Source organism: Homo sapiens, chromosome 8 (genome assembly GCF_000001405.40).
Source record: "Homo sapiens chromosome 8, GRCh38.p14 Primary Assembly".
Classification (NCBI taxonomy): domain Eukaryota; kingdom Metazoa; phylum Chordata; class Mammalia; order Primates; family Hominidae; genus Homo; species Homo sapiens.
In genome coordinates, this window is record NC_000008.11 from 42788679 (window position 1) to 42811256 (window position 22578).

At 44.5% G+C, this 22578-nt stretch overlaps 3 annotated features.

The window, feature by feature from the left end:
- Positions 1789 to 2048: an enhancer, noted in NCBI's record as "active region_27316". NCBI's record gives its function as "activates an Ori minimal core promoter by ATAC-STARR-seq in GM12878 lymphoblastoid cells {active_cell/tissue: GM12878}" and the evidence as "EXISTENCE:reporter gene assay evidence [ECO:0000049][PMID:35858748]".
- Positions 5333 to 6167: an enhancer, noted in NCBI's record as "H3K4me1 hESC enhancer chr8:42649154-42649988 (GRCh37/hg19 assembly coordinates)". NCBI's record gives its function as "activates a minimal SCP1, AML or CMV promoter by ChIP-STARR-seq in naive H9 embryonic stem cells {active_cell/tissue: H9 hESC(naive)}" and the evidence as "EXISTENCE:reporter gene assay evidence [ECO:0000049][PMID:30033119]".
- Positions 15279 to 15438: an enhancer, noted in NCBI's record as "active region_27317". NCBI's record gives its function as "activates an Ori minimal core promoter by ATAC-STARR-seq in GM12878 lymphoblastoid cells {active_cell/tissue: GM12878}" and the evidence as "EXISTENCE:reporter gene assay evidence [ECO:0000049][PMID:35858748]".

Consider the following 22578-nt stretch of genomic DNA (forward strand, 5'->3'; position numbering starts at 1 on the left):
ATCCAGCAATCCCAACACTGAATGAAATACTGAGTATCTAGCCAAAGAGAAAAAAAAATCATTATATCAAAAAGAGATAACTGTACTTACATGTTTATTGCAGCACTATTTACAAGTGAAATAACTCAGAAACAGAAAGTGAAATACCACAAGTTCTCACTTTTAAGTGAGAGCTAAATAATGTGTACACATGGACATAGAGATTGGAATAATAGAAATAGGCAATGGAAAATCGGAAAGGTAGGAGGTTGGGAGAATAGTGAGGGATGAAAAATCACCTAATGGGTACAGTATACGCTATTCGGGTGATGGTTAAACTTAAAGCTCAGACTTCATCACTATGCGATATATTCATGTAACAAAACTGCACTTGTAACCCTAAATCTATTTTTAATTTGTTTAAGTATTTTATTTTTCTTCTTCTTTTTTTTTTTTTAGATGGAGTCTCACTGTCACCCGGGCTGGAGAGCAATGGCATGATCTTGGCTGACTGCAACCACTATGTCCCGAGTTCAAGTGATTCTCCTGCCTCAGTCTCCCTGAGTAGCTGGGACTACAGGCATGCACCACTACGCCCAGCTAATTTATATATATATATATATATATATATATATATATATTTTTTTTTTTTTTTTTTTTTTTTTTTGAGATGGAGTCTCACCCTATCACCCAGGCTGGAGTGCATTGGCCGGATTTCGGCTCACTTCAAGCTCCACCTCCCAGGTTCAAGCAATTCTCCTGCCCCAGCCTCCCGAGTAGCTGGGACTAAAGACATGTGCCACCAAGCCCAGCTAATTTTTTGTATTTTTAGTAGAGAAAGGGTTTCACTCTGTTAGCCAGGATGGTCTCTATCCCCTGAGCTCGTGATCTGCCTGCCTAGGTCTCCCAAAGTGCTGGGATTGCAGGCATGAGCCACCATGCCCAGCCTAATGTATTTTCTTCAGAATATTTTGAAGAATTGAAAAGTATTGAAATGCATTAAATTAATCCACTCCAGACATCTGTTACCAAAACACCAAGGTTTGGTCTAGGTCTTGCTGCTTGCTGCACAGAAAGCCGATTATTCAGAGGACAAGTATTGCCAAGGAAGTGCAGCAGGATAATTTAGGAATCAGAGAGACAGAGGGGTTGAGGAGGGTGCTTATTATTTATTATTTAGGTGCACTGGCCCAGTCAGATTAACATCCAAAAAGACTGAGCCCTGAACAAAGAGTCCGGTTACCTTTTAAGCATTTTGTGGGGCAGGGGGAGATCTGTGCAGGGGGAAGCATATTACAGAAGTGAGAAACAGACAGTTATTCAATTGAGACATGCATTACATCATTTCTTACTTTTCAAGGAAAAACATGTTTTACGACTTGAGTTTATCTGCCTAGTGACCTTGCAGTTGCACAGCTAGAGAAACAGGGTCTTCACAATGCCTGGGAAAGGGAGAGATAAGGCTCACTAGCCACAGAAAAACAGGCAATTAATTTTTAAAGGACTTCAGCTCTTTCTTTTCCTCAGGGGGAATTGGTTTTTTTTTACATACAACTGAGTTTTTGCTTACACATTCTTTAATTTCTTTTAATTCCTGTTTCAGAAGAAGGCTTTAATTGTGTGCTGCAGCCAAGGAGATGTGAGCTCAATCTCAAATCCATCGCCCTGACCAACTAAAACTAGGAGTTTCTATAGCAGGTAAGAAATGTAACAATGTGTAGGAAACAGGAAGTAGGGAGCCACAAGAAAGCAATCACGATGAATTGGGGGCTGGGCATCTCATTGTCTGAATATGGTGATCTGGTGAGTTTCAGTTCTGTTATACTTTTTTTGAGAGGCCTGAAGGTCCATCCCTGAGGAAGAAACTGAGATAAAATAAATGTAAGCTTCATGCTTTAAGACCAGAAGGGTCAATTTCTATATTTATCCAAAAAACTGTCTATGGGACTATTGAGTCAGTTTCACCTCCTACTTCTTCTTTTTTTTTTTTTTTTGAGACGGAGTCGCCCTCTGTCACCCAGGCTGGAATGCAGTGGTGTGATCTGCGTTCACTGCAACCTCTGCCTCCTGGGTTCAAGTGATTCTCCTGCCTCAGCCTCCTGAGTAGCTGGGACTACAGGGGTGTGCCACCATGCCCAGCTAATTTTTGTAGTTTTAGTAGAGACAGGGTTTCACCATGTTGGCCAGGATGGTCTCGATCTGTTGACCTCGTGATCCACTCGCCTCAACCTCCCAAAGTGCTGGAATTATAGGCGTGAGCCACCATGCCCAGCCCACCTCCTACCTCTTTTGTGCTTTTATTAATATTTTAAATTGGCACATAGTAATTACACATATTTATAGAGTACAGTGTGATATGCTGATACAAGTATACAATGTGTACTGATCAAATTGAGGTAATTAGCATATTCTTTACCTCAAATATTTATCATTTTTGGGGGTTGGAAACATTCAAACTTTGCTCCTCTAGCTATTTGAAAATATACAATAAATTGTTGTCAATTTGACTCATCCTACAGTGCTATAGAACACTGGAACTTACTCCTATCTAACTGTAATTTTATATATTAATCAACCTCTCACTAGCTCACCCTCATCCCCTCCAGTAACCACTATTCTATTCTACTCTCTACTTTTTTTTTTTTTTTTTTTTTTGAGATGGAGTTTCGCTCTTGTCGGCCAGGCTGGAGTGCAATGGTGCAATCTCGGCTCACTGCAATGTCTGCCTCCTGGGTTCAAGCGATTCTCCTGCCTCAGCCTCCTGAGCAGCTGGGATTACAGGTGCCCACCACCATGCCTAGCTTATTTTTTATATTTTTAGTAGAGACGAGGTTTCACCATGTTGACCAGGCTGGTCTCAAACTCCTGACCTCAGGTGATCCACCCTGCTTGGCCTCCCAGAGTGCTGGGATTACAGCTGTGAGCCACTGCACCTAGCCTCTACTCTCTACTTCTAATTCACACTATTCTACTCTCTCTTTCTATGAGATCAACTTTTTTAGTTTTGACATATGAATGAGAGCATGCAGTATTTATCTTTCTGTGCCTGGCTTATTTCACTTAAATAAAGACCTCCTGTTTCATCCATGTTGCTGTGAAGGACAGGATTTCATTCCTTTTATGGCTGAATAGTATTCCATTGTGTATATCTTTCTTTTTCCCTCATCTGTTGATTGACACTTATGATGATTCTAGACCTTGGCTATCATGAGAGAGCTGCAATAAACATGGAGGTACAGGTATCTCTTCAACACATTGAAAGCAACCCAATAGTCCCATAGACAGTTTTGGGGGATAAACATAGAAATTGACTCTTCTGGTGTTAAAGCTTGAAACTTACCTTTGTTTTATTTGAGTTCCTTCCTCAGGAAAGGACCCCAGGCCTCTCAGAAGGTATCAAAAAACTGAAACTCACCATGTCACCATATTCATACAATCAGATGCCAGGCCCTTCATTCATCATGATTGCTTCCTCACCCCTCCCAAGTTCCTGTCTTCCCATACATCGTTACATTTCTTCTCTGCTCTGTACACCCCTAATTTTAGTCAGTGGGGGAGATGAATTTGAGACTGATTTCCCTTCTTCTTTGCTGCACCACTCAATTAAAGCCTTCTTTGACAATAATTGTTGTCTCAGTGATTGGCTTTCTTTGCAGTAAGCAGCAGGATCAAGACTGAATCCCCGGTGTTTTGGTAACAATATTGGTTTCCCTTCTTTTGGTTGTATACTGACTAGTGAAATTCCTGGATCATATTGAAGCAGTGTCGATCATCTGGAGTAATACCGAGGTTTGTTGCCTCATGCCAAGGAAATTAAGGACGTAGATACACAAGGAGTGAGATTAAGAGCAGAGGTTTAATAGGCAAAAAAAAAAGAGAAAAGTTGTCTCTCCTGCAGAGAGGTTAGGGCTCCCAGTCTTCCAGTTCCATGGGTCTTCCAGTTCCATGGTGAAATGTACAGGGTTTTATAGGTGAACTTGAGGAGGCAGTGTCTGATTTACATAGAGCCTGAGAGATTGGTTGTACCAGGTTTTCCATTTGCATAGTGCACAAAGAAGCTGGCCACCCCACCCTAATATTTTATTATGCAGATGGGGTCTCTACCTGGCTGGCCATTGTTGCCTGTTCCTTTACCGTACACGTGGTTGACAAAGAAAAGGGAAGGTGGGCCAGGCGCGGTGGCTCACACCTGTAATGCCAGCACTTTGGGAGGCCGAGACGGGCAGATCATGAGGTAAAGAGATGGAGACCTGCCTGACCAACATGGTGACACCCCATCTCTACTAAAAATACAAAAATTAGCTGGGCGTGGTGATGTGACCTGTAGTCCCAGCTACTTGGAAGGCTGAGACAGGAGAATTGCTTGAACCCAGGAGGCGGAGGTTGCAGTGAGCCGAGATCACGCCACTGCACTCCAGCCTGGCGACAGAGCAGAGACTCCATCTCAAAAAAAAAAAAAAAAGAAAAAGGAAAGGGAAGGTGGAGCCTCCACGTTGAACATGGCTGGCCCCCAAGTAGCCTTTTCCTATTGGCACAGCTGCTGGCATTCACCCATGCAAGCTTCCAGCTTACTTATATATGTTTGCAGCTCGATTTTACAGGCTGCTTTTTGTTAGAAATGATTTGGGGGCTGCTTTTTGTTAAAAAGGAAGACTTACTGTGGGCTCTCTTACCCTCACTAACTGCCTAAATAATTTTTTTATCTCCTGTGTCCATATAATAGTTATATTTTTAGTTTTTTGAATAATTTCTATACTGTTTCCATACATAATGGCTGTACTAATTTATATTCCCACCAACAGTGTGTAAGAGTTACCCTTTCTCTGTATCCTTGCCAGCATTTATTTTTTAATCTTTTTGAAAGTAGCCATCCTAACTGGGGTGAGATAACATTGTGGCTTTGATTTGCATTTCCCTGATGATTAGTAATTTTGAGCATTTTAAAATATAGTCTGTTGACCATTTGCACATTTTCTTGTGAAAGATTTCTGTTCAGCTCATTTGCCCATTTTTAATCAGATTGTTTGTTTTTGGTGTTGAGCTGTTTGAGTTTCTTGTATATTCTGGATATTAATCTCTTCTTAGATGAATAGTTTACAAATATTTTCTCCCATTCTACAGGTTATCTTTTCACTCTGTTAATTGTTTCCTTTGCTGTGTGGAAACATTTTTAGTTTGATGTAATCCCATTTGTCTATTTTTACTTTTGTTTTCCTTACTTTTGAGGTCTTACTCATAAAATCTTTGACCAAACCAATGTCCTGGACAGTTTCCTCAAAGTTTTCATCTAATAGTTTTTTAGTTTCAGGTCTTACACACTTAAGCCTTTCAACCATGTTGAGTTGATTTTTGAATATGATGAGAGATAGGAATCTAGTTTCATTCTTCTGCATGTGGATATCCAGTTTTTCCAGCACAAATTAAAGAGATTATCCTTTCCCCAATGAATATTCTTGGTGCCTTTAGACATCCCAGTGTTGCAGAATTTCTGCTCTTTTGTTCAGCTAAATCTGGGTTCTGCTAAAAGAGAAAAGAAACCTCTCAGCAAAGCGGGAGAGGTTCCTGCTAACAGGCCCACACCTCACAGATTGATTTCAGGACACAAGAATCAATCAGTTTCACACAGAAACTGAAGAGACCAGGCTCCTCCCCTATGCAAATGGCACAAGCTTCCCATGGCTCCACCCTGTCCTCCCTGTGTGCAGGCAGGTCAGACATTCTCCACGCATCCTCCACCTTATCTACCTCCTGCATCTATCACCAAGACTCTAAAACCCAGTGCTCAGCCTGGCGTGGTGGCTCATGCCTGTAATCCCAGCACTTTGGGAGGCCGAGGCTGGCGGGTCACGAGGTCAGGAGATTGAGACCATCCTGGCTAACATGGTGAAACCCCGTCTCTACTAAAAATACAAAAAAAAATAGCCGGGCATGGTGTTGGGCGCCTGTAGTCCCAGCTACTCAGGAGGCTGAGGCAGGAGAATGGCGTGAACCCAGGAGGCAGAGCTTGCAGTGAGCAGAGATCGTGCCACTGCATTCCAGCCTGGGCAACAGAGCCAGACTCCGTCTCAAAAAAACAAAAACAAAACCAAAACAAAACTCAGTGCTCATTTTTAGTTCAATGCTCTCATGGCTTGTAATAAACATTTTAAAGACTACTACAACTCAGAGTATGCTATTAACCATTTTTACGTTTTAGTTTGAACTTCAGGAATTTATTAACCTAAGACTAATTTTATGTTTAGGCGGTTTCCATATGCTCTCCAAAAGGTTCAAAACTAAGAAGTCTAATTTACTTGACATCTTATGGTTCATACATTTCTTTAATTATTAGATTATGAGAAAATTAGCAAGACTAATGAACCTGTTAAATAAAATCTAGGCCAGGTGCAGTGGCTCACACTTGTAGCTCCAGCAATTCGGGAGGCCAAAGTGGGTGAATTGCTTGAGCCCAGGAGTTCCAGACCAACCTGGGCAACATGGCAAAATCCCATCTCTACAAAAATTAGCCGGGCATAGTGGTGCCCAAATGTGATCCTAGCTACTCAGGAGGCTGAGGTGAAAAGATTGCTTGAGCCCAGGAAGTTGAGGCTGCAGGGAGCTGTGATTGTGCCTCTGCACTCCAGCCTGGGTGAGAGCGAGAATGACACGCTGTCTCAAAAAAGAAGAAAAAAAAATTATAAAGCTGTTGGTTTAGACTAAGCTCCTGCATTAGGGTGAATAGACGTAACCAAAATGGAGTCACTCATGCTAAAGTTCCATGCCACCAAGCCAAAACTAACTGGTTCCTCTGATCTTCCATGAAATCAGGAAAGAGAGAGAAAGTGAGAGGCGACAGCGTGCTGGCAGCCCTTGCTCGCTCTCAGTGCCTCCTCAGCCTCGGGGCCTGCTCTGGCCATGCTTGAGGAGCCCTTCAGCCTGCCGCTGCACTATGGTGGCCCCTCTCAGGGCTGGCTGAGGTCGGAGCCAGCTCCTTCTGCTTACAGAGAGGTGTGGAGAGGCACAGGCAGGAACGGGACCAGCGTGAGTTCTGGGTGGGTGAAGGGGTGGGTTGCCCCTCCACACCTGTGGGTGTTTCTCATAAGGTGGAACGAGAGACTTGGAAAAGAAAAAGACACAGAAACAAAGTACAGAAAAAGAAATAAGGGGACCTGGGGAACCAGCGTTCAGCATATGGAGGATCCCGCCAGCCTCTGAGTTTCCTTAGTATTTATTGATCATTCGTGGGTGTTTCTCCGAGAGGGGGATGTGTCATGGTCACAAGACAATAGTGGGGAGAGGGTCAGCAGACAAACACGTGAACAAAGGTCTTTGCATCATAGACAAGGTAAAGAATCAAGTGCTGTGCTTTTAGATATGCATACACATAAACATCTCAATGCTTTACAAAGCAGTATTGCTGCCTGCATGTCCCACCTCCAGCCCTAAGGCGGTTTTTTCCTATCTCAGTAGATGGAACGTACAATCGGGTTTTATACCGAGACATTCCATTGCCCAGGGACAGGCAGGAGACAGATGCCTTCCTCTTGTCTCAACTGCAAGAGGCATGCCTTACTCTTATACTAATCCTCCTCAGCAGAGACCCTTTACGGGTGTCGGGCTGGGGGACAGTCAGGTCTTTCCCTTCCCACGAGGCCATATTTCAGACTATCACATGGGGAGAAACCTTGGACAATACCTGGCTTTCCTAGGCAGAGGTCCCTGCGGCCTTCCGCAGTGTTTGTGTCCCTGGGTACTTGAGATTAGGGAGTGGTGATGACTCTTAAGGAGCATGCTGCCTTCAAGCATTTGTTTAACAAAGCACATCTTGCACAACCCTTAATCCATTTAACCCTGAGTTTGACACAGCACATGTTTCAGAGAGCACGGGGTTGCGGGGTAAGGTCATAGATTAACAGAATCTCAAGGCAGAAGAATTTTTCTTAGTACAGAACAAAATGGAGTCTCCTATGTCTATTTCTTTCTACACAGACACAGTAGCAATCTGATCTCTCTTGCTTTTCCCCACAGGTGGGCGTCGGCTCGGCAGGCCCCGCACTCAGAGCAGCCGGCCAGCACCACTGGCCCCAGGCACTGAGCTGCTTAGCACCCGGGCCAGCAGGTGCGGAGGGTGCGCCGGGTTCCCCAGCAGTGCTGGCCCGCTGGCGCTGTGCTCGAATTCTCGCCAGGCCTCAGCTGCCTCCTTACAGGGCAGGGCTCCAGACCTGCAGCCAGCCATGCCCAAGCCTCCCCACCCCCCTACCCCCGCCGTGGGCTTCTGCATGGCGCAGCCTCCCCAACAAGTGCCGCCCCCTGCTCCTCGACGCCCGGTCCCATCGATCACCCAAGGGCTGAGTAGTGCAGGCACAGGGCGCGGGACTGGTGGGCAGCTCCGCCTGCGGCACTGGTGTAGGATCCACTAGGTGAAGCCAGCTGGGTTCCTGAGTCTAGTGGAGACTTGGAGAACCTTTATGTCTAGCTAAGGGATTGTAGATACACCAATCAGCACTCTGTGTCTAGCTCAAGGCTTGTAAATGCACCAATCAGCACTCTGTGTCTAGCTCAAGGTTTTGAATGCACCAATCAGCACTCTGTATCTGGCTAATCTGGTGGGGACTTGGAGAACCTTTATGTCTAGCTAAGGGATTGTGGATGAACCAATCAGCACCCTGTGTCTAGCTCAAGGTTGGTAAATGCACCAATCAGTGCTCTGTGTCTAGCTAATCTAGTGGGGACTTGGAGAACTTTTGGGTCTAGCTCAGGGATTGTAAATGCACCAATCAGCACCTTGTCAAAACGGACCAGTTAGCTCTCTGTAAAATGGACCAATCAGCAGGATGTGGGTGGGGCCAGATAAGGGAATAAAATCAGGCTGCCCGAGCCAGTAGTGGCAACCCACTGGGGTCCCCTTCCACACTGTGGAAGCTTTGTTCTTTCGCTCTTTGCAATAAAGCTTCCTGTTGCTCACTCTTTGGGTCCGCACTTCCTTTATGAGCTGTAACACTCACTGCGAGGGTCCGCGGCTTCATTCTTGAAGTCAGTGAGACCAAGAATCCACCAATTCCAGACACAAAAGGATTAGATATTAGAGATTTGTTTAGCCAAATCCCTGAACAGGTCAGTTTTAACCGGCATGATAAAGCAATTCTCTCTGCTTTAATCTTTAGAAGGAAAGTAACATTGAAATGACCAATTCACTTTTTGTTCTCTGTTTCTGCTTTCTTCAGCCCTTTTCTGGATGTAAAGCCAGCCTCCTCTGCTTAGCTCATCAGAGCACTTGTTCTATTTTATGGAATAAAGTGTTGCCCAATTCAAGTATCACAAATAAAAGCCAATTAGATTTTTAAACTGTTTGCTGTAATTTTGTCTTTTGACAAACTAAAGGAAATTGCTGCTTATTCAACTGTTTTGACCTACAGAAATGGCAGTTTTTTGATGGTTCAGTCTAATGTATTGTGTTTTGGTAACATACATTTAATGTTCCATTTTCATTTAAAAATTGTTCACAGAGTATCTACTTAATGTAAGGGATTGGGGTAGAGCGAGAAGGTTACTAAGACAAATAATAGTCATCTGTATCCTCATATATTTAAAATCTAGAAGGTTCTCAAACTTATAGGAGTTTAAGATTCACCTGGAGATTTCTTTTTTTTTTTTTTTTTTTTTGGAGACAGAGTCTCGCTCTGTTGCCCAGGCTGGAGTGCAGTGGTGCAATCTTGGCTCACTGTAACCTCCGCCTCCTGGGTTCAAGTGATTCTCCTGCCTCAGCCTTCCAAGTAGCTGGGACTACAGGTGCGCGTCACCATACCCAGCTAATTTTTGTATTTTTAGTAGAGACGGGGTTTCACCATGTTGGCCAGGATGGTCACAATCTCTTGACCTCGTGATCTGCCTGCCTCGGCCTCCCAAAGTGCTGGGATTACAGGCATGAGCCACTGCGCGTGGCCGAGATTTTTCTTTTAATTAGGGCAAATGCCAGTGTCTCAGCCCCAAAGACTCCAGTTTCTACCAGGAGTTCTCAGACTATCCTTGGTCAAACACTGATCTAAGGAGAGAAACAATGGCCAGGCACAGTGGCTCACACCTACAATCCCAGCACTTTGGGAGGTCAAACAGGAGGAACACTTGAGGCCAAGAGTTTAAGACCAGCCTGGGTAACATAGCAAGACTCTGTCTCTACAAAAAAAATCAGTTGGGTGTTGTGGCATGCATCTGTAGTCCCAGCTATTAGGGAGCTTGAAGTGAAAAGATCACTTGAACCCAGGAGTTTGATGTTTAAAATACATTTTATTTGTATTCCAGAAAGAGAGGATAAAAAGAAGAGAGTTGTTGCAGAAATTTGAAGAGACAACGGGTGAAAATTTTATAGAATCTGTCAAAGACATCAGATTCACAAATGGCTACATATACCAAGCAGGATAATGAAAAAGAAATCCACACAACAGTAAAACTGCGTAACATCAAAGGAAAAAAAAATCTCAAAAGCAAGCAGGCAGAAAAGACCAATCATGAACAAAGAAATGATACTTAGACTGAATGTAAACTTCTCTACAGCAACAATAGAAGTCAGAAGATGGTGGAATAGTATCTTCAAAATGCTTAGAGAAAACAAGAGTCAACCCAGAGTTGCAAACCCAGTAAAACTGTTTTTTTTTTCTATTTTTTTTTGAGACAGGGTCTTACTCCCACTGCCCAGGCTGGAGTGCAGTGGTCTGATCACAGTTCACTGCAGCCTCGACCTCCTGACTCAGGTGATCCTCCTGCCTCAGCCTCCCAAGTAGCTGGGATCACAGGCATGTGCCACCATGCCAGGCTAATGTTTTGTATTTTTAGTAGAGGTGGTGTCTTGCCATGTTGCTCAGATTGGTCTTGGACTCCTGAGCTCAAGTGATCAGCCCACCTCAGCCTCCTAAAGTGCTGGGATTACAGGCAAATCACCACAACTGGCCCAGTAAAACTATCTTTCAAAAACAGGATGAAATGAAGACATTTTTCAGAAAGAGTTAATAAAATCTAAGAGTTCACAAAGTGGCCCTCACTATAGTAACTTCAAAAGGAGGAAAATGATCACATAAAGAAGATCAGAGATGAAAGAAGAAACCATGAGGCTGAGTGCAGTAGCTCATGCCTGTAATCCCAGCACTTTGGGAGGCCGAGGCAGGCAGATCACTTGAGGTCAGGAGTTTGATACCAGCCTGGGCAACATAGAGAAACCCGGTATCTACTAAAGATACAAAAATTAGCCAGGCGTGGTGACATGTGCCTGTAATCTCAGCTACTTGGGAGGGTGAGGCAGGAGAATCACTTGAACCCGGGAGATGGAGGCTGCAGTGAAGCTGAGATTGCACACTCTAGCCTGGGTGACAGAGCGAGACTCGTCTCGGGGAAAAAAAAAAAAAACAGCACAAGCAAAGAAAATAAAAAACATATGAATTGATGTGCATGAATGTTACTTCTCTAGATTACTGAGTTTTTGGTGTTCCCTTAAATTTTGTGCCTACAAGTGCCTCAGTCGTTTTGCCTGTGGGAAGGATCTTATTCAACACGAGGCGTTTCACTTTATCTCCCTATTTTCACCATAGTACCCTCTTCCTGTCTTCATCCTCAGCCAGCCTAAGTCTCTTTGGCTCAGTATCTTGAGAGAATGAACTCTACTCTTTTGCTTGGAGGAAGAAGGGAGATCTGGGGTCTCGTGCTTGTTGGACACACATTCAGAAAAGTTCTCGTTTTTATCACCACATGTACCCCCATTTCATAAGTGCTCGGTGCCCCAGTTTTTGGGCCTTTCTGGGGGTACTCAACACCACCTGACTTCCTATAGGCCTTTCTCCATGGCTGGCTGAGGTTTCTGCCTTCTTGGATTCATTGGGTCAATCATCAGTCCTCTCTCTCCTTGCTTCCAAAATGTCCATTTCTCCCATCATCTTTGCCCTTGTGAACTTACACTATTTCAAATCCCTTTTATAGCTTTTTTTTTTTTTTTGAGATGGAGTCTCATTCTGTCGCCCAGGCTGGAGTGCAGTGGCGCAATCTTAGCTCACTGCAAGCTCTGCCTCCCGGGTTCACGCCATTCTCCTGTCTCAGCCTCCAGAGTAGCTGGGACTACAGGTGCCTGCCACCACGCCCGGCTAATTTTTTTTTTGTATTTTTAGCAGAGACGGGGTTTCACCGTGTTAGCCAGGATGGTCTCTATCTCCCGACATTGTGATCCACCCGCCTCGGCCTCCCAGAGTGCTGGGACTACAGGTGTGAGCCACCGCGCCCGGCCTTTTATAGCATTTTAATGGAGCTTCTGTTGGATGAGAGGCATTTTTCCAATCCACTAGATTTAACAAGAAGCTCTTCTCTTGTGACTCTCTCTTAGGAGAGAGAACTTTCCTAGAGACTCCCTCGGCTGACTTCCCCTTCATCTCCTCTGTCAGAACTAATTCATGCACCGGATTCTAAAACTGACCCACCAGGCCGGAGAGCAGGGCTGCCGCTCTGGGTTAGAGCCTAATCATCTGGGGTGGAATGGATGTTTCGGATCAACCACAGTGGTCACCTTCAACAACCTTAATCAGGGCTTGGAAATTCAAACTCCAAACCAGTACTCAAATCAGAAGATAACCCCTTGAAGGCCGTGGTCTTAGTTTATAAATTCTTCATATCTTTAGCAACTGACTGAGGGAATGATCTATTACATAAATACAATGCACGGAGACCATATTTATGCATAAAACAGTGAGGTGGTAAAGGCAAGATGGGAAAGAAGGTTGAATAATTCAGACAAGACCTGGAATCATGTGGTGGGTGGGAGGGGGAAGAAAAACTTGAAAGCTTGGTTACTCTGCCAGAATCACTAACCAGTATAAGTGACTTCCTGTGTGAAATGGCATTTTAAATGTCAGGGAGCTAAAGGACAGGATTATGGTAGCTTGAAAGCTAAGCACTAAATCAAATAACTTCAAGGCCTCTAGCCTTAAGGTCATATTTATACAGCAATGGCCAAATTGGACTGGACCAGAAAGTTTGGGCTGTTTTGTTGACTGTGGCTTACACATACATCAGAGACACTCGTTTGGAAACCCCAGTTCTGCTCTGCAAGGCATTAAGAGAGCTTCTAACAAATTCTAACAAATTTAATCAAGTGAAGTTTGGGTCTGAAATTAAAATTGGTAATAACCAAAAAAAAAAAAAAGACAACAAAACTGCAGATGGTTGAAAATACTAATCTTGTATCCTTGAGTTGCTCGTGTTATTGAGAACAGAAGGATGGAAGGAAGAAGAACAATAACACATCTAGTCCCATCTAAAATTAGGGCTTAATGTGAGATATTAAGGAGAAAGTGAATTTATTAAACAGAATAAAAAACATGGTCATATTGATTACTTAAAAAGTAAACAAGCAAGAGGTCAGGCATGGTGGCTCATGCCTCTAATCTCAGCACTTTGGGAGGCCGAAGCAGTTAGATCACCTGAGGTCAGGAGTTCAGGACCAGCTTGGCCAACACAGTGAAACCCTGTCTCTACTAAAAATACAAAAATTAACCAGGCATGGTGGCACACACCTGTAATCCCAGCTACTCAGGAGGTTGAGGCAGGAGAATCACTTGAACCTGGGAAGTGGAGGTTGCAGTGAGCCGAGATTGCACCACTGCACTCCAGCCTGGTTGACAGAGTAAGATTCCGTCTAAAAAAAAAAAAAAAGGAAACAAGCAAGAAACACAGAAGGGCATGTTTTCTCATACAGGTAATTCTAAATTATCTGCTACAAAAACCTTGTGTTTAAGAAAAAATTCAGCCAGGTGTGGTGATTCACACCTGTAATCCCAGAACTTTGGGAGGCTGAGGTGGGAGAATTGCTTGAGCCCAGGAATTCAAGACAAGCCTGGGCAACAAGGCCCCCATCTTTAATAAAAATCATCTAGCAAGACCCCATCTCTACTAAAAATAAAAAACTTAGGCCGGGCACTGTGGCTCACGCCTGTAATCCCAGCACTTTGGGAGGCCGAGGTGGGTGGATCACCTGAGGTCAGGAGTTCGAGAACAGCTTGGCCAACATAGCAAAACCCCATCTCTACTAAAAATACACAAAAATTACCTGGACGTGGTGGTGGGTGCCTGTAATCCCAGTTACTCGGGGGGCTGATGCAGGAGAATCGCTTGAACCTGGAAGGCAGAGGTTGCAGTCAGCTGAGATTGCACCATTGCACTCCAGCCTGGGCAACAAGAGCGAAACTCCGTCTCAAAATAAAATAAAAATAAAAATAAAAAACTTAGCCACGTGTGGTGATGCACACCTGTAGTCCCAGCTATTCAGAAGGCTGTGGTGGGAGGATCGCTTGAGTCCAGGAGGTCGAGGCTATAGTGAGCTACGATTACACCACTGTACTCCAGCCTAGGTAACAGAGCACAACCTTGTTTTTTAAAAAAAAAAAAAAAGTCTTATTGACATTTAAGTTGGTTGGGGTAGGGGGGGATTTGAGATGGAGTCTTGCTCTGTTGCCCAGGCTGGAGAACAGTGGCGCGATCTCAGCTCACTGCAACCTCTGCCTCCCAGGTTCAAGCAATTCTCTGCCTCAGCCTACTGAGTAGCTGGGATTACAAGCGCCCACCACCACGCCCGGCTAATTTTTGTATTTTTAGTAGAGACAGGGTTTCACCATCTTGGCCAGGCTGGTCTTGAACTTCTGACCTCATGATCCACCCATCTCGGCCTCCCAAAGTGCTGGGATTACAGGCGCGGGCCACCGCACCCAGCCAGTTTTTTTTGGATAGACACAGAAATGGACCCTTCTGGTCTTAAAGCTTGAAGCTTACGTTTGTTTTATCTGAGTTCTTTCCTCAGGAATGGACCTTCAGGCTGCTCAAAAAAAGTATCAGGGAACTGAAACTCACCAGATCACCACATCCTGACAATGAGTTGGACCCTTCATTCATCATGATTGCCTCCTTGGCCCTCCCAAGTTCCTGTTTTCTTACACATTGTTACATTCCCTCCCTGCTATAGAAACCCCTAGTTTTAGTGGGTCAGGGAGATGGATTTGAGGCTGAGTCCCCATCTCCTCGGCCATAGCACTGGATTAACGCCTTCTTCCTTGGCATTACTGGTGGTCCCAGTTCATTGGCTTTCTGTGCAGCTTGCGGCAGGACGGAGACTGAAACCCTGGTGGTTCAGTAACAGAGAGAGTCTAGCATGAATTGAGCTCAACCTCGATTTGTACAGAGGTGACTGGGAGTTTTTAAAGAGAGAATGAGGGAGCAGTGAAGTGAGTGAGCAGGGGCTCAGTAGACTGAGGGAAGTGAAAAGTTATGAAAAGCAGGAATGAGGGCCTAGTGTTACCCAAGTTAGGCTCCTATGCCCCCACCGAGGTTGGGAGTCAGTAATTCTTTTGGCAGCTTGAGTTTCCTCAGGCAGGCATTTTTCCTCTGGGGACATCCTAGAGAAGTGGCTTTAAGCTGCTAGAAACTGGGTCAGTGTTTTGCTCAACTCTTGCTAGGCCAACATTGAGGTCCAGTGGAGAAAGGGCTCAGAGGAGCCTGGCCAGAGTTTGGATAAGGAGAGTCTTTGTCAGGGCAAAACAACAGATAGCCAGGAGTGCAAGGCCTGGGTGAGACAGCCACATATTCCCCTTCCAGAGGCAGGGTCAGCCTGGCTCTGTTCCTGCTCACTGGGCCCCATGGAAAGGCATTGCCAGAATATGTTTTGCTTTTTTTTTTTTTTAAGAGAAACCTAAAATCTTAATTCTATGTGATCTCTCCTGAATTTTTAATTTTGACCAATTAAAAACACACTTCAAATGGCAGTAGCCCCACAAAATACATCCGCCGGCCAGATTCAGACCATGACCCACAATAATTTTCCTTTCTTTTCTTTTCTTTTTTTCCTGAGATGGAGTTTCACTCTGTGGCCCAGGCTGGAATGCAGTGGCGTGATCTCAGCTCACTGCAGCCTCTGCTTTCCAGGTTCAAATGATTCTGATGCCTCAGCCTCCAAGTAGCTAGGATTACAGGTATGCACCACCATGCCTGGCTAATTTTTGTATTTTTAGTAGAGGTGGGGTTTCACCATGTTGGCCAGGATGGTCTTGAGCTCCTGACCTCGAGTGATCGGCCCGCCTCGGTCTCCCAAAGTACTGGGATTCCAGACGTGAGCCACCGCACCCGGCCTGCAATAATTTTCTAATTCGGCCCTAAGCAGAAAATAGAAGATGTCTTCGGTTGCTGTTTTATTTAGGAAAATATGCAGACAGATCATTTTGCTGAGCTAGTCTGTATTGCTTAGTTGCTCTACATAAAGCAAGATATTTATGTGGCATTTGCCACCTCCCTCACCCCCCATAGAAAATAAGAACGTTCTTAGGAGTGAGTGTGAAAGCAGATTTCAGCAATGTGCCTGACGGTCTGCACCCAAGGTCAGCGAGATGGGTAGGAACTCAGGCATGAGATGGCTGCCGTTTTTGCAGTCCCACTCCCCCACTGCACCCCCATGCACATGCTGCAATAACCCTGTTGTCGGAACCTGCGGTGGCAGCCTGTTTCACAGAAGCATTGCTGTAGTGGCACCAGGGGATAAAAACCAGTTGCCCCACTGGAAAGTTTAATAATGTTTCAAAAGATCATAGTGTTACTATTAGGAACAATGAATACCAGAATGCAAATATTCATGAATAAGGAAAGCAATGGTTTTAGCTAATTCATTTTATTTTGGAAAGTGACATGTGATCAGTGACTTTAAAGGAAGCCTTACGTTTATGTGATTGCGGGTTGGGGGGAAGGTTGTTTTGTCAGACACAGCAAATACCAAGCTTCCCCTGCCACCTACTGGCTGTTCCTTGCAATGAAAAAATTCTGAATAAGATGTGGTATATTAGAACCAGAGGTTGTTGTGAAAATAATTTTTAAAAATTAGCCTGGTGGCACACGTCTGTATTTCCAGCTAGTCGGGAGGCTGCAGCAGAGAATCGCTTGAACTCTTGGGAGGCGGAGGCTGCAGTGAGCCGAGATCGCGCCACTGCCTCCTGGGCGACAGAGGAAATTATTTCTAAAGCTGGGTGGTGTGCGCATTGACATTTATGATGTTTTTTGTTTGTTTTGTTTTGTTTTGTTTTGAGACGGAGTCTCGTTCTGTCGCCCAGGAGACTGGAGTGCAGTGGCGCGATCTCGGCTCACTGCAACCTCCGCCTCCCCGGTTCAAGTGATTCTTCCACCTCAGCTTCCCGAGTAGCTGGAACTATAGGCTCATGCCACCATGCCCGGCTAATTTTTGTATTTTTGGTAGAGACGAGGGTTCGCCATGTTAGCCAGGCTGGTCTCGAACTGCTGACCTCAAGTGAACCGCCCACCTCGGCCTCCCAAAGTGCTGGGATTACATGTGTGAGCCACCGCTCCTGGCCAAGAAATAAAATATTATTAATGAAGTTTGAAATCTCCTGCATACTCCTCCCTAATTGCATCTCCCTCCTACTCAAAAGTATCCGGTACTTTGAATTATATGTTTATCATCCCAACACATTTGTTTATAATTGTTGTCCATATGTATGTATCACTAAGCAACACTGGTATTGTTTTGCATAAAATTTGTATAAATGATATAATTGTATGGAATCTTCTGTAGGTTACTTTTAAAACCAACATGTTTATGAGAGTCATCTACATTTAGCAGTATAATCATTTTCACTGCTGTCTAGAATTCTATTTGTGGAGCTGCCATCATTTATTTGTTCATACTCATTTTATTTTTCTCTGAGACAGGATCTCATGTGACCTAGGCTGGAAGTGCAGTGGCACATCATAGCTCACTGAAGCCTGGACCTCCCAGGCTCAAGAGCTCCTCCCACCTCAGCCTCCCCGGTGGTTGGGACTACAGGCTTGCACCACCACACCAGTTTTTTTTTGTTTGTTTTTGTTGTTGTTGTTGTTGTTGTTTTTAATTTTTGGTAAAGATGAGGTCTCACTATGTTTCTCAGGCTGGCCTCAAACTCCTGGGCTCAAGTAATCCTCTGTCCTTGGCCTCCCAAGGTGCTGAGATTACAGGCGTGAGCCACCATGCCCAGCCATACTTGTTTTGATGGGCATTTAGATGATGGCTAATTTTTTACCAATACCAATACAGCTTCTGTGAACATTCCACAGTATGTCCCCATGTGTAAGTGCTGGATTTCTTAGGTAGACGGCAGTAATGCAATTGCTTTGTCATAAACACATCTCTAGTCTTTCTTGTCATTTCTAAATTTTGCTCCAAAATAGTTGTAGCGATTTATGCTCTGAGCATCAGTGCATAAAGGTTCCCACTGCACCACATCCTCATCCCCACTTGCTATTGTCTGATTTCTGGATTTTTGCGGTTCAGGTGGGTGTGTAATGCTATTTCTATGGTTTCATGACCCTGGTGGACTTCTGCATGGGCCGTAGAAATCCACTTGAGGAGAACTTTTGCTATTCAGGCTTTCCATACACAAACATAATTTATTTAGGTCATCTTGAATAAAGTTTTATAAGTTTCTCTGTAGAGACCTTGCAATTTTTTTGTTAGATTCATTCATTATTTCATATTCTTAAAGCATTGTAAGTGCATTGTTTTAAAATGACATTTTATTTATTTATTTATTTTGAGACAGAGTCTCGCTCTGTCGCCCAGGCTGGAGTGCAGTGGGGCAATCTCAGCTCACTGCAACTTCCACCTCCCAGGTTCAAGTGATTCTCCTGCCTCAGCCTCCCGAGTAGCTGGGATGACAGGCACATGCCACCATATCCAGCTAATTTTCTTTCTTTTTTTTTTTTTTTTGAGACCTAGTCTCTCTCTTGTGCCCCAGGCTGGAGTATAATGGCGTGATCTTGACTCACTGCAACCTTTGCCTCCCGGGTTCAAGTGACTCTCCTGCCTCAGCCTCCCGAGAACCTGGGATTACAGGCTCCTGCCACCACGTCCGGCTAATTTTTGTATTTTTCTTAGTAGAGACGGGGTTTCACCATGTTGACCAGGCTGGTCTCGAACTCCTGACCTCAGGTGATCCACCCATCTCGGCCTCCCAAAGTGCTGGGATTACAGGCATAAGCCACCGCACCCGGCCTAATTTTTGTATTTTCAGTAGAGATGGGGTTTTGCCAAGTTGGCCAGGCTAGTCTCATCTCCCAACCTCGAGTGATCCACATGCCTCAGCCTCCCAAAGTGCTGGGATTACAGGCGTGAGCCACTGGGCCTGGCCAAAATGACATTTCCTAACTAATTTTTTGATACCCTAACTGGACTATATTAATGCAACTGATTTTTTAATTTTGATTTTGTGTCCAGCAACATTGTTAAATTATTTCATTAACCCCAACACTTTATTTGTAGATTATTTTGGATTTTCTATGAAAACAATCATTTTCTATGAATTTTGACATTCTTTATTTCCTTTCAAACTCATTTCCTTTATTTATTTTTCTTACCTTATTATGCTGCTTAGGACCTAATTGAGTGTTGAATAGAAATGGTGAAAACCAGCACCCGTGTATAGCCCTTGATCTTATTAAGAAATACTCTTTGTGGGGCACGGTGGCTCACGCCTGTAATCCTAGCACTTTGGGAGGCCGAGGCAGGCAGATTGCCTGAGGTCAGGAGTTCGAGACCAGCCTGGGCAACACAGTGAAACCCCGTCTCTATTAAAAACATAAAAATTAGCCAGGCATGGTGGGGGGCACCTGTAATCCCAGCTACTTCGGAGGCTTAGGCAGGAGAATCGCTTGAACCCAGGAGGCAGGGGTTGCAGTGAACTGAGATGGTGCCACTGCTCTCCAGCCTGGGTGACAGAATGAGACCCTGTCTCCAAAAGCAAAACAAAACAAAACAAAAACCATCTTTTGACCTTGCAGATAATGACAGTTCTATTTGGTTGGTCTCCTATATTCCACTAATCTAGTGAGTTACATTATAGTTTGTTGAGTTTTTTTCTTCCAGAGACGGAGTCCTGCAATGCTGCCCAGGCCATCCTCAAACTCCTGATTCTTTCGCTTCAACCTCCCAAGTAGCTGGAACTGCAGGCATGCACCCCTGTGCCTGGCACATTATAGATTTTTTCCCAGAGTTAAACCATCCCTGCATTTTTGGGATAAACTTTAATAGCTCAGAATGAGTGAGCTTAGCATGTAATTTTCTTTTCTTGCACTGTTTTGTCTGGTTATGTTACATCAACCAAATCAGGATACATTCTCTTATTAAAAGATTCATTAGAAATATTTGGTCCTGCATTCTGAGAGGTCAGTGAGAACATTTAAAGATTGCTTCATTTCACATTATAAATGCATAGTCTACTAAATTATGGCTCAGAAATAAGAAGAAAGAAAAAAGCCTTGCTTCTCTGCCATGAGATGTTAAACCAGCCTGATTTGTCCAAGGATTCACCTTGATTATGTGAACTTGGTTTCTTATAGAAAATTGCTTCTGAGCTAGCAGGTTTTTTGTTTTTTTTTTTAGACGGAGTCTCACTCTGTCGCCCAGGCTGAAGTGCAGTGACACAATCTCGGCTCACTGCAAGCTCCGTCTCCTGGGTTCATGCCATTCTCCTGCCTCAGCCTCCTGAGTAGCTGGGATTACAGGTGCCTGCCATCACGCCCGGCTAATTTTTTGCGTTTTTAGTAGAGACGGGGTTTCTCCATGTTGGTCAGGCTGGTCTCGAACTCCTGACCTCAGGTGATCCGCCCACCTTGGCCTCCCAAAGTGCTGGGATTACAGGCGTGAGCCACTGCGCCCAGACGTTAAAAGGCTTTCTTAAAAGGCTTTTAACATATTAGAAGTTCTGTTTATTTGCTGGGAATTCTGGGCACAGTAGATTTATGGAAGTGCTTAATCAGTCTCTACAAACAAATCAGAGGAGAACTCCTATTTTGTTTGTTTGTTTGTTTGTTTATTTATTTATTTTTGAGACAGACTCTTGCTCTGTCACCCAGGCTGGAGTGCAGTGGCACGATCTCAGCTCACTGCAAGCCTGCCTCTCCAGTTCACCCCATTCTCCTGTCTCAGCCTCGCGAGTAGCTGGGACTACAGGCGCCCGCCACCATGCTGGGCTAATTTTTGTGTATTTTTAGCAGAGACAGGGTTTCACCATGTTAGCCAGGATGGTCTCGATCTCCTGACCTCTTGATCCACCCCCCTCGGCCTCCCAAAGTGCTGGGATTACAGGCGTGAGCCACCATGCCCAGCCAATTTGTTTATTTATTTTGTTTTCTGAGACAGGGTCACACTCTGTTGCCCAGGCTGGAGTGCAGTGGCACGATTTCGGCTCACTGCAGCCTCCACCTCCTGGATTCAAAGCATTCTCCCACCTCTGCCTTCTGAGTAGCTGGGACTACAGGTGTGTGCTGACATGCCTAGATAATTTTTGTGCTTTTAGTAGAGACGGGGTTTCACCATGTTGGCCAGGCTGGCCTCGAACTCCTCACCTCAAGTGATCTGCCTGCCTAGGCCTCCCAAAGTGCTGGGATTACAGGCGTAAGCCACCGTGCCCGGTCAGAACTCCAATTTTAAGATACTGTCACCTAATTTCTGAATATGTTTCAGAGGTAGGAAAATATTTGACACACGTAAAGAAAAGTAAGGACTTTTCTCCATTACAGCTAAATACCCAGAGTTCTCACAGCTTCAATTTTACAGCATCAATCATGGGTTCAGAAGTAAGCAAAAAGGGGCCGGGCATGCTGGCTCATGCCTGGAATTCCAGCACTTTGGGAGGCTGAGGCAGGAGGATCACTTGAGGCCAGGAGTTTGAGAACAGCCTGGGCAACATAGCAAGACCCCATCTCTAAAAAAAAAAATAGCCTGGTATGGTGGCATGTCTGTAGTCCCAGCTACTCGGGAGGCTGAGATGGGAGGATCACTTGAGCCTAGGAGGTAGAGGCTGCAGGGAGAGGAGATCACACCACTGCACTCCAGCTTGTGTGACAGAGCCAAATCCTGTCTTAAAAAAAAAAGAAAAAAAGCAAAGAAACAAAAACTCATCAGTCTAAATGACAAGATATCTTCGTAATTAATTTGGAGTCACAAGTAGATGAACAAGTAAACAAAAACAGATTATCTGTTATGTCTTATCCAAAAGAGAATAGATACCAGCATCTCAACAGAGATTACCAAATGGTCAGAACATAAAATAGATTGTCAGATATTGCGGCTGCCAATGAGGAAAAATTTGTTTGCCATGTCCAAACTATAGTTATATAAATGTAGAATGTTCTCATTCTATTCACAGAGGCTGACATACAGTGGTCCACGATACACCAGTCCCTGGACCCAGCTGTGAAAAGGATCAGAGCCCAAACCATTAAAGGACTAACAGATTTGACCAAGAACCATAAACAAAGTAAAAAACATAGAGAGTCAATGAAGGACAAGTTCTATTTCCACTTGGGATTCATTCTGGAAGCTAAAGAAAGATGTGCCCAGGGCTAAACAATCCATGATGTGCATTTCTCGTGCACCACAGTTTAATTGATTCTGACAGATAAATCCACGTGAACATTCTGGTGGGGCCTCCAAAACTGTCAAAAAAAGCTGTCAAAGTATATATTTATTCATACTTTTATTTTTTAGAGGCAGGGTCTCTGTTGTGCAGGCTGGAGTGCAGTGGCACAATCATAGCTCCCTGCAGCCTCAAACTCCTAAGC